At 38.2% G+C, this 11,564-nt stretch overlaps 1 protein-coding gene across 15 annotated transcripts in view; it reads right to left on the bottom strand.

The window, feature by feature from the left end:
- Positions 1-200: 200 nt before the first annotated feature.
- CNOT6 (CCR4-NOT transcription complex subunit 6) overlaps positions 201-11,564 on the bottom strand; it is an 83,980-nt gene continuing 72,616 nt past the window's right edge. For 10 of the 15 annotated variants that reach the window (NR_163437.1, XM_047417436.1, XM_047417438.1 and 7 more), the window contains 5 exons: positions 11,317-11,471; positions 10,556-10,710; positions 9,219-9,449; positions 7,127-7,329; positions 201-4,571 (listed from right to left, as the gene is read on the bottom strand). Coding sequence is in view for 13 of the 15 variants with exons in the window: in XM_047417436.1 (XP_047273392.1) it covers positions 4,359-4,571; positions 7,127-7,329; positions 9,219-9,449; positions 10,556-10,710; positions 11,317-11,471 (957 nt within the window). In the remaining 2 variants the exon portion in view is untranslated. Of the gene's footprint in view, positions 4,572-7,126; positions 7,330-9,218; positions 9,450-10,555; positions 10,711-11,316; positions 11,472-11,564 lie in introns of those variants that run through there. The other 5 variants (XM_047417440.1, XM_017009672.2, XM_047417439.1 and 2 more) reach the window with 3 other exon arrangements.

Here is an 11,564-nt window from a genome sequence, read left to right as displayed (position 1 = left end):
TTTGCATGGTTTTTCCCACATGTACATAAAAATGTACGTCTGCTATGGAAGTCGTTCTAAAAGCAAAGGAACTCATGTTGTTTTCTCAATTGTAAGGTGACATCGGAAGACTTAGGAAGTCACACGTTTTTAGAGTTTACACATACAACAAAATACAGGCAACAAGACATTTAATGAATTATTATAACCCCAACACAATGTTTGCTACTGTATTTAAAAGCATTTATTTAAAATATGTCAACCTCCTTCCAAAAGACGGAAGACACATGAGCCCATTCCTTATATCATGAGGTATAAGGTAACAACAACGAAAATCCTAAATGCAAAAGGACCATCAGTTGCCTAAATATAAAATTGAACTTTGGCAAAGATATGAGTGTTATACAGAATAACAGCCAATAAAGAAATACATTAGTTTACACCATTTCCCCATATCATGGCCCCGTCCCCCTGCACTCTTCCCTTTGGAAGGCTGAGTTACAACCCTGTCCCAGAAGATTCAGAATTTTAAATACGTGGTCTGCTGATCAACATTTATTTTTCCTCAAACCTCAGTACTACAGCTATACAAACTACACTTCTAAAATATTTGAAACAGATACTGAATTTATTGGTTGGCTATGAGTAGGAAAATACATCGGTAAAGAAAAAAGACCCTGTATATAAATATAATGCTAGCTAATTACAATTTGACCAAGAAGGTTCCACTGAACAGAACAGTAAAAGCCCTTGTTACTGCCAGTCCGTATGGTTTATTCAGTTCCCATCACCCTCATCAAAGAGCTGTCTGGGCGGATGTGACATTCTTTGAGCTTATAGTGCAGATAATGTGCTGGGTTTTGTTACATGAATGGTAAACAAGAGTTAGTCCAGTGCATCACACAATATAATGTACTGTGAATAAAGACTAGATACTTTTAGACACTACTTCAACATACCAGTTATTAAAATGTATGTAACCAAAAAGAAGAGCAAAGTGAACATCTTAAAATACTGTTTACGAATGGTGAAGAACACCTGCTGAAGGAGTTCTTGGAATTATCTGCAACATCTGTACTGGACATTCTGAGAGCTTCACTGAAAAAACGGTGCTGTCATTGTTTTGCCTAGCTTGGCTTTAGTCCTTATATATGACCCCAAAACCTTACAAGTCAGTATGGAAACTAGTTCCATAAATTTAAATAGTACAAAGTGAAACTCTAAAACTTGAATATTATTATTGAGAACCTGAATCTCGAAAGAGCTTTGAAATTTTAATTTAAACATTTAGAAGTGCATTCCATCCAATTTAATAATGTCCCTAAGTTTGAAAGTGCTAATAATCCCAAGTAAGTTTTCCTGGTTGTCACTAAATCATATTAAACACACACACACACACACACACACACACACACATTTCTGGAGATGTTCTCTGCCTATCTTTGGGACTATGAAAGTTGCACTCAACAATTCATTTCTACAACTTTAGCTTAAATTATGCCATAAGTTAACTTGACGAACAATATTGAAACTCTCAAAGCATAAATAATGACCACTAATATGGTAAAGCTGTACTTCAGGAGATTGGCGACAAGGATTTGGGTGCCTTCAAACTTCTGGTCTTTAAAACAGAAAACATGCCCTAAACTTTTTGTAAGACATTTCTAAAATGGATTTATCCAGCAAAAATACTGAAATGACATTATGGCAACACATTAAATATATTTGTTACAGAATTTTTGAAAAAAAATATACACCGTGAAAACATACTAGTTTTTATTGCATTTTAGGGATTATAGATTATTGAAAATTATTTAGGACACGGAAAATATCTAAAACATGAAACCTTTCTTAACAAAAGCATCATAGTCTATTTTGGTGTGACTGTTCATTACCTACAGACCCCAAATAGTTCTTCCTCTTTTGAAGGTTACACTTGTAAATCTACACTCTTGGTTCAATTTATCACTGTCCAAATAAGGTGGAGAAGCTGTTCAAACTGATCCACAGAATGCAGTATGCCTGGAAGAGGCAAAACAAGTATTTTCAAGACATAACAGGCCATTACATCTTAATATGCTGCCCCAAATTCAAATATATTGTAGACAATAACAAATACAGATGAAGACATTTTGTGTAAAGCTCAAACCTTTAGCATCTAACAAGTGCACTCTAGTTCCAGCATCTATGAAAAGATGACATCCTCCATTAACAAATACAACATGAGTAAGTGCTCCTCCTCTCCCGCTTCCATAAAGCTCTCTGGACCTGTGATTACATAATGCAGATCGTAGGAAAAGCTGCTTCCTCAGTCTCATTAGTCCAACCAGCTCCAGCTCACCTTCACTGGAAATTGTCATGATGCACATTACCAACACAGTGTTCAGGAAAAATGAGTAAACATACCTTTTATTCACACTTTACAAAAAAAAACCAATAACAAAACCCCATAAAAAGTTATGCACTGGTTCTACATCAATACCAGCTTTCCAATGTACTGATTATAAACTGGATGTGTTTGGTGTCAGCACAACTTAAACAAAAAGCAAAAAACAAAACCAAAACATCACAATGAAATCCTAGAAAAAACAAAAAACAAAAAACCCTCAAAGGAAAAAACAGGTCCAAGACCAAGATTCAACATCAAAACCTTTTGGAGAATTTTCTAAAAGGAGAAAAAAAAAAAACATAAGAATCATTTCCAAAATGACTCATTTTCTGTATAAAAATTGTTAGTAAGAGTGAGTATTTTTTTTCCTAATGCTCACATGGCGTCCTTTTGCTCCCCTGCCTGCAGTTGAAACAAAAGCAGTTTGACCAAGCTCCCTCTGCATTCATTTGACTTTTGAGAGAAGAATGAATAAATGAGAGCAGACCATGTACATGTTCACTTTGCAAAGTTAAAGCTGGTTTTCATCTCTAAATGGCACTATGGGCAAAATAGACGGTATGATGTAATTTTTATCTTGCTTGACATACTAAAATGACTTAGTCATTTTAAAAATGATCTGAAGAATTGTCTTAGGGACCTGTTTTGAAAATACATCTAATTCATACTGCTTCATAAATGGAAAATTACTTCTTCTTAAAAAAGGAATGATTAAAACAACAACAACAACAACAACAAAAAGACTAAGGAAAAGACACTGACGACAAAAAGAATTCACATGATAGTAGTATTCTGGGTGACAAGCAGCACACTGCAATGACACCGAGAAGCAGTGCTTGGATCTGGTGAGCAAAGATCCAGGGACTCACCCTATAACATGTTCCAAAATGTGATATTCAATGCTTCACAATGGGAAAAAGCCACAGCTCATACAAAAGCATTTTCATAAAATTCTCACAAATGTTAAACAGTATTTTAAAAATATAAAAGAGGATGCACAGATTTTCTCTGCATGCACAGGCAGTGCTTGGTGAGAACAAATTTAGGCAGGCACAGTGGAGATAGGACAGGAAGTGTCTCAAAAAGAGTTAAGAAGCTGGACCTAAGCAGCTGTAGGTTTTTAACTTTAAAAAGTTAAAGATTTAAAAATATCAGAATGTACATATATCAACCATTACATTCAGTCCATAAATGTCTACAGATCATCACTGTTCAGCTTATCTGTCCTAGTAGATAGTTTTCATAAAAATTCATGAATAAGTTGCCTCTGGTCTGAAAACATCCTAAGGTTGAAGCAGATTTATATGTAAAGAACCATGTTCTCAATTTAAAAAGAAAGTAGTACAAAAGGGCTAACAAAACCCTAAGAGTGCAAATCATGAGCAGAGAAAGTCTGTTGCAGCTTCTTTTACAAGCTGGCCTTTATAACACATGAAACAGGTTTAAAAAAAAATTTAGCCTCAGTTTACAATACAATCATTTCCAAATGATTTTAGTACAAAATTTCATAAATCAGGTCTTCTGTGGATCATATACAATCATAAAGGCTAAATTCAGATTCTGTACTTTACAAACAAGTCTGAAAAAGGAGGGAGTAAAGTATGGAAGAATGATCTCTGGATGTTGCTACTGGCCTCAAAAAAGCAGTGCTACAGATTTCTGTGTGAAGAGAATACGCTGTTCACACATTTTCCTATTTCCAGGCATGAAAATATTCTATTGGGTAGAAGAAATAGGAAAATCTCTTATGACAAATGAAAGACAGGTGCAAACACACCAATCCCTGTCTAGCAGTATAAAGCATATTGGGCTCAGAATTTGTCTGTTGCTAGCACCTGGCTTTCATACTATATCCTTATCAAATAATCAGATTGAAAGTCCAAATCATTCTTAAGCAAGCAAAAATCCTCAGTGGCCATACCTCACTCCCCTATGTTCAGATTTTCACAAGTTTACAAGTGAATCAAGGCTGTCCTCTGAAGGTGCTTGACTACCTCCTGCCAGGAAGGTGGATGCCGTTGACTTGGGGCAGGAAAGGCAGTAAGAGCTCCAGTTGTGCAAAAAGTGAGAAGTGGTCAGAGGGGATGAGGGGGTGCGGGCAGCCACTGATGTTATTCTCAACCAGCCAGTGGTGGTCCAGAGGGCCCAGGATGCCTAAGGTGTTCAGCTGAGGTTTAGAATAGAAAATGTAGTCTATTATACCCTGAAAAACAACAGAAAAAAAGATAAGCACCGTATAAGACAACACTAAAATCCTCAGTGCTTTCAAGACATGCCTTTATGTCATGTTTGGTGAACAGAACAGAACAAGTGAAACTTACTAGCTTGTAGGATGAGGTCTGTACTACATACACCAAATGGTCCCCGTGCAAAATGTCAAATCTAGCAGAATGAAGCATTCTTCTTATCTGGATCTTTAACAAGACCTAAAAGGCCTTTCAGGATGCAGCCTCTGCTTCTCTTTCCTAGCCTAATTTGTGCCACTTTCCCTGCTTCCACACTAGCCTTTGGAATGAGAAAGGGGTGAGGATGTGAGGGGACCTATAGGTACCAAGTTCTTTCCTGCCCCAGGACGGACGGACGGACGGACACACACACACACACACACACACACACACACACACACACACACACACACTGCCCCCCTCCACCATTCTGCCTGGAACACTTTCTTCTACTTGTTATGAGGTCAATTCCTTCTTAATCTTTCAATGTCAGGTTCAACTGCTTTCCAAAGACCTTCCTGAATCCTGCTCCTACCTACTTACTACCCTACCTCTCACCACAGATTCACTTCCCTTGCTAATGGCCATCTCAAGGTGTAATTATCTACTCATTTGTGTGGTTGAGACTTGTCTCTCTCATCACACCTCAGCTCCATGAGGGCAGGACTGTCTCTACCTGACCCCCTTTTCTCTCAGCAGCACCCCGCCATGGCATCTACTAAACTGTTCCCATCTGATGGTTCTGGTCCTCCCCTCTACATGCTCTTGGCCAAATGTACTGAAGCACATTCAAGTGTCTTCTTCCTGCCACTGCATCAGCAACAGAAAGAGAAAGAAAACGCTAAGCATTCCCACTCTGTGGCTGCTACCCATGCTTTCTCTTCAATGTCTCCTGAAGAACCTGAAAGGAAGGGGCACCTGAGGATAAACAGGGGTTTACTTTCTATGCTCTAAGGTGCAAAGGCTCCTGAGATACTATCTAAACTCTTATTTACACTCTGACAGTCTAATCTAAATGATTACTTTTCCAGCAGCTTAGAAATAGAAAGCTGGGAGTTAAGAAATTTTTAAGAAAGCAGAAATGCAAAAAGTAGTTTAAAAGGGCAGCTGAGCCAGATGTGGTAGCTCCCGTCTATAATCCCAGCACTTTGGGAGGCTAAGGCAGGAGGATTGCTTGAGGCCAGGGGTTCAAGATTGGGCTGGGCAATATAGCAAAACCTTGTCTTTACAAAAAATTACCAAAAAAAAAAGATCTGGGTATGGCGGCGGACACCTGTAGTCCAAGTTAGCGGGGAGGCTGAGGCAGGAGGGTTGCCTGAGCCCGAGAGTTTGAGGCTGCAGTGTGTTATCATCACATCACTGTACTTCAGCCTGGGCAAAATGAGTGAGACCATATCTCTTTTTAGAAAAAGGACAGTTGAACACAAGAAAGTGACAGCCCTAAACAATCACTAACGTTAAAAATGGTGTAAGTCTGACCAGGTGCGGTGGCTCATGCCTGTAATCCCAGCACTTTGGGAGGCCAAGGTGGGTGGATCACTTGAGGCCAGGTATTCAAGACCAGCCTGGCCAACATGGTGAAACTCCGTCTCTACCAAAGATACAAAAATTAGCCAGGTGAGGTGGCTCATGCCTGTAATCCCAGCTACTTGGGAGGCTGAGGTATGAGAATCACTTGAACCTGGGAGGTGGAGGTTGCAGTGAGCCGAGATCACGCCACTGCACTCCAGCCTGGGCAACAGAGCAAGACTGTCTCTAGGGGGAGAAAAAAGATGTATCTTAGAAACACTTAAAAATAGCTAATATAAATCACATTTTGGCATGCAAGAGTTTACTTTCAGTTAAATTAAAATGTAAGAGAAGGAACATCTTACCACAAATGCCACTCAAACTAGATAATTATGGTGCTGCATATCTAGCTATTAGTAATGAGAATATAAGAAACATAATTGTCCCCAAAAGGTGAAAAAGTCAACTTAGGAATTTTACAGATTATTTCATGTGACTTCTTATCCTGAAAATTATTAGAATAAATATCTACAAAGTAAGGATGTGACACTGATCACATGGACTTCTAAAAAAGAGTAATAAAAGAATATTACTGGCTGAGCACAGTGGTTCACGCCTGTAATCCCAGCACACTGGGAGGCTGAGGTGGAAGAATCATTTGAGGCCAGGAGTTCAAGATCAGCCTGGGCATAGCGAGACCCCATCTCTACAAAAAATACAAGAATTAGCCAGGCGTGGTAGTAGGCGCCTGTAGTCCCAGCTACTAGGGAGGCCGAGGTGAGAGGATCGTTTGAGCCGGCATGGTTGAAGCTGCAGTGAGCCATCACTGTGCCACTGCACTCCAGCCTGGGTAACAGAGTGAGACCTTGTCTCAAACAAAAAACAAAGAACATTGCTGTCAATGAATTCAAGACTGCTTCATTCCAGCCTGAACACACAGCCACAGTTTTAAAGACATAATGATGTATCAGAACACCTGCCAGTAAAAGACAGGTTTGAAAAGCTTATCAGTCTCAAGACACACCTTGAAATCAAATGTGTAATTCGTGTAAGGCATCAGGCCACTCTCATAGGCACTCTGTAACTTGAAACCATGAGTGATCCTTCCATTGGTGGTTCCATTCTTCCCATGACAGCTGAAGTTTGTGAGACTTTCATTATACCTCAACTCCTTAAAGTCTTTGTGATTTGTTTCTACTCCACCTGTGCTCAAATATTCTACAACACCTACAATGAAGACAAATTTTTTTATTGTCAAATATATACAAAAAGTAATTTTAAAAGATCATGCAATAGTAAGAAGTTTTAAACTATACATATTCCCACGTTCCAAAATGTTTCCTTTTACATTTGCCAGGACTTGCCCAAATCTATTTTTACACAGTTGTCATCACAGAGTATTGAATAGTTTATAATTTGCTTTATGAACATGTGTCTTCCCAATTATCGTTCTTTAATGGCTGCACAATGCAATTGGGCTGGTGGATAATATTTACTGGTTACTTATTTTGTAAAATGCAGGTTGTTTCCACTTTTTACAAAGAATTAAAGATAACACCACGATCAGCATCTTAGTATGCAGACTTCTGGCTTACGCTCAATTATTTACTTGGTATAAAATCCCAAGATTAGGACTGAATGTGCCATTTTATAATGCTGCCAACTATGGAAGAGAATACCACCAGCTAGTTACAGGCCAAACGTCCACATCCCTGGTGAAGTATTTTCCCAATTTACTAAGCATAAGATGGGCTATGAAAATATACTTTCATTTACATTTTATTCACAAATTAGCAAGGCTGGACATTTTCTGACCTGCCTGCTATTATAATACTGTATTTCTCAATGCTGAAATGGGTCTTGGATATTAATGTTTGACCAGATTTTCTCTTTACTCCTCAGATACTTTGTAGCTACACAGAAAGTAGAAAGCATGTAGAGAAATTGTCAGAGACTACTACTCAACTGCTTCAGGGGCAGTAATCCCCAGATAACTTGATGAGATGAAATAATTACAGATTTCAGATAGCTTTGATTTTCCCTGAAATTGAATTTTAACTCAGTTTTTCTTTCTCTCTCTTTTATTATCATATTATTATTATTTATAGTCTCGTTCTGTCACCCAGGCTGAAGTGCAGTGGTACAATCTTGGCTCCCTGCAACTTCTGCCTCTGGGGTTCAAGTCATTCTTGTGCCTCAGCCTCCCGAGTAGCTGGGATTACAGGCGTGCACCACCACGCCTGGCTAATTTTTGTATTTTCAGTACAGATGGGGTTTCACCATGTTGGCCAGGTTGGTCTCGAACTGCTGGCCTCAACTGATCTGCCCACCTGGGCCCCCCAAAGTGCTGGGATTACGGGCGTGAGCCACGGCACCCAGCCAGTTTCTTTCTTCCTAAGGGCTCTATCTATTGTGATGTCAAGAACGTGCTTCCAAATGTGCGTGTGTGTGTGTTCATGCGTACATTCACGTCCAAGGAAGAGTATTCCTGTGTGTATAAATGAGTTGAAACACAAAAAGAAAGAAACAGTTTGTTATTACAAGGGCTACTGTTTATTGTATACTATCCACGGAAAGAGCGCTCCAGATCAGGCTTTCTGTATTCTACATTTTAATAAAAATCAAGATCCTTGCTCTTTGTCAAAATCGCTTGACTGATATGTGTGCAAATAAAGGAGCTCATTTTCCACCTGAGGTGTATTTTTCTAATCAAGTTATAAATACATGCAAAATTGAGATTCTATAATTTTAACTCAAATTTAAACTATGATTATATTACCACACGCTGGAATCCCAAAGAGGCTGTCTTAATAACCATAATTATCTCTGACTTTGGAGTAATAAAATGGAACTACATACGTTCTTTAAAGAGTTATTTCACGTTATTGCTTATGTGTTTATTCAAGATGATTAACATCCTTCTCCTCAAGTTTCCATAATATCGTTTCATCTTCAAAATGGCCCCTCCACCCCAACATGATGTTTAAAACCTGCTCATAGCTGCCATTACAAACTGAATTTTTATTTGGACTTAATTTGGAATGATCAGAAACAAAACATTACTAAATCATCTTATGTCAAAAAATATTCTACATAAAATCACATTATTTTCTTACCAGAGTCTGGCAAAGAATTAAGATCTGCACATAACACAAGTGGAATAGTTCCAAATTCTCCCAAAACACTGGATTTGAGGTTGCGAGAGGCTTTATCAATAATGTTCTTCACTTCTGAGAGGAACATCATAGTTTGTACCAACTTCACATCAGAGTATTCAGGGTCCCAATGCATGTGGGCGTTAGCCACAAGAATAAGTTGTTTTTCTGTTCCAAGATGTGGCTTTCCGGCTACATTAGATAAAAACGAAACAAAGAAAGAGACAAAACCCGCCCATCAGCCCATATATTCTTACAGCGTCTGAAAGCAAATAATCTCTCAGAGTCCCAGAATAGAAAAGACACCTAAAATTCCCACCGGATGACTGAATGTGCCCTACAACAAACCCGAGAAATACACATCTCAACCTGGGCTGATGCTTCCAGCACAGGGCATTCACTACTTGTACAAAAATAGCCCTATTTGGGACAGCTTGATTTTTAAAATTCTGTCTCCCTGAAACTTTTGGTCTTAGTTTGGATGTCCTAAATCGAGCCTCACAAAATTACATCTAAACCCTCTTTCTTAGATTTAAGACAATCGTTAAGTCCTATTTCCATTTTTTCTATACTTCACATTAAATTTCTCCAGTTCCAACTGTTCCTCAAGTGACACAAGTTTCGGCTCCCAGCATAATGGTCACTTGAAATATGCTTTCAATTTGAAGTGGTCCATTTATCCAAAACTCAAGACCTTTAAAATAATTATTTTATGTATTTATTTATTTATATTTATTTATTTATTTATTTTTTGAGGAGTCTCACTCTGTCACCCAGGTTGGAGTGCAGTGTGACAATCTTGGCTCACTGCAACCTCTGCCTCCCAGGTTCAAGCAGTTCTCTCCCTCAGCCTCCCAAGTAGCTGGGATTACAGGCGCCCACCACCACACCCAGCTAATAAAATGATTATTTTAAATAGATCAGGAAAAGAAGTTAGCTTACAGAATATCCTTGCTGCCAAAAAATTACAAAAGTGTATGGAGTTCTTACCCCTGAGCAGTTATTTTAATTAATATTTACTTCAACATTTATTTTATATGAAAAATTCTTAGGAGCAAAAAAAAAAAAAAAGGTTTTTTAATGCTTTTCAAGGCTTCTAATACTTTAATGGGCAATGCTTTCTCATGTTAAGCTTTGTGGTAGAGAAAAAGAGATACATTTTAGGAAAGACAACTTCTCACTGAGTTTCTTCAGGTGTTAGACAAGACCATGAATACACAATGAAATTTCTGTTTTCTATTCTTTTGAAGATGTCTAGTCAGAGCTGGTCAATTTTACAGGAAGTGAAGGGCACTCACACGGCATTTCAATCGATTCCTTCCGAAGTTCTAGCAGTACTGCAACCCCAATGTTATCTTTTGTCATGACTCTGTTCAGCATAGCTTCAGACCCCTCAGAATTTGCCATGGCTAGCTGATTAAATTCAACAGTGTGTTTCTGAACCAAAGTAAATCTAAAACAAAAACAACACACACACACACACACAGAGTTGGGAATACCAAGAGGTTAGCTTTGTGGGAAACGCAGTTTTCCCAAACTTCCTTAACAGATACGATGGCACTTAAATCACATTACGGAAAATCCTCCACGTTCAGCATCAAGCTTCCCACATCCATTTAAAGTTGCTCTCAGTCTGTTATTGATACAAATAACAACTTGAAATATTTTTACAACTGAAGAAAATGTAGTCATCTTCTGTTTAAGTTTTATGTTGGAATATTCTACCTTGTAATTTTTAAACAATTCTTTTCTAAAGTATGGGTTTAAGAATCCCTGTACCGTCATAGAGGGAATTTTAACTACATGGTATTTCAATTAACAATTGGGAGTTAAACCCTAGTAAACACCTGAAGAAACAGCAGTACTTTAAGCATGTCTCCAAAACAAGGTTATTTCTGATGATTAAAAACAAACAAAAACCCCCTAGGTCAAACAGTATTCTTTGCTTCAGTAATAATATAGTGCCTCATTCTCTCATTTGCCAATTAGTTTCCACACCCTTGGCCCCCACCCTGCAAATACTGAGAAAACGTTCTTTTTAAAAAATAAGATGACTTACTTTTCTGTCTTGAAGAATATTGCACAGCCATCAACATGTTTCCTTTCTTGTTCTGACATTGTCCTAGCTCTAGACTTAGGACTGAAGAATCCATTATAGCCACGTTCTTTCAGCTCTACCAGAAAAAAACTGTAATACTGTTCCGTTTCAACCTCCTGAAAAGTTGTAAACAGCACAGTTATTTCATAAGACAAAAATTAGTCTGCATATTAACTTCTATGTATAGTTTGAGAGCTTGAAATAATTTC

The sequence above is a fragment of the Homo sapiens genome, chromosome 5 (assembly GCF_000001405.40).
Source record: "Homo sapiens chromosome 5, GRCh38.p14 Primary Assembly".
Classification (NCBI taxonomy): domain Eukaryota; kingdom Metazoa; phylum Chordata; class Mammalia; order Primates; family Hominidae; genus Homo; species Homo sapiens.
Note: the sequence above shows the minus strand (reverse complement) of the source record. Positions and strands in the feature narration are given on the sequence as shown.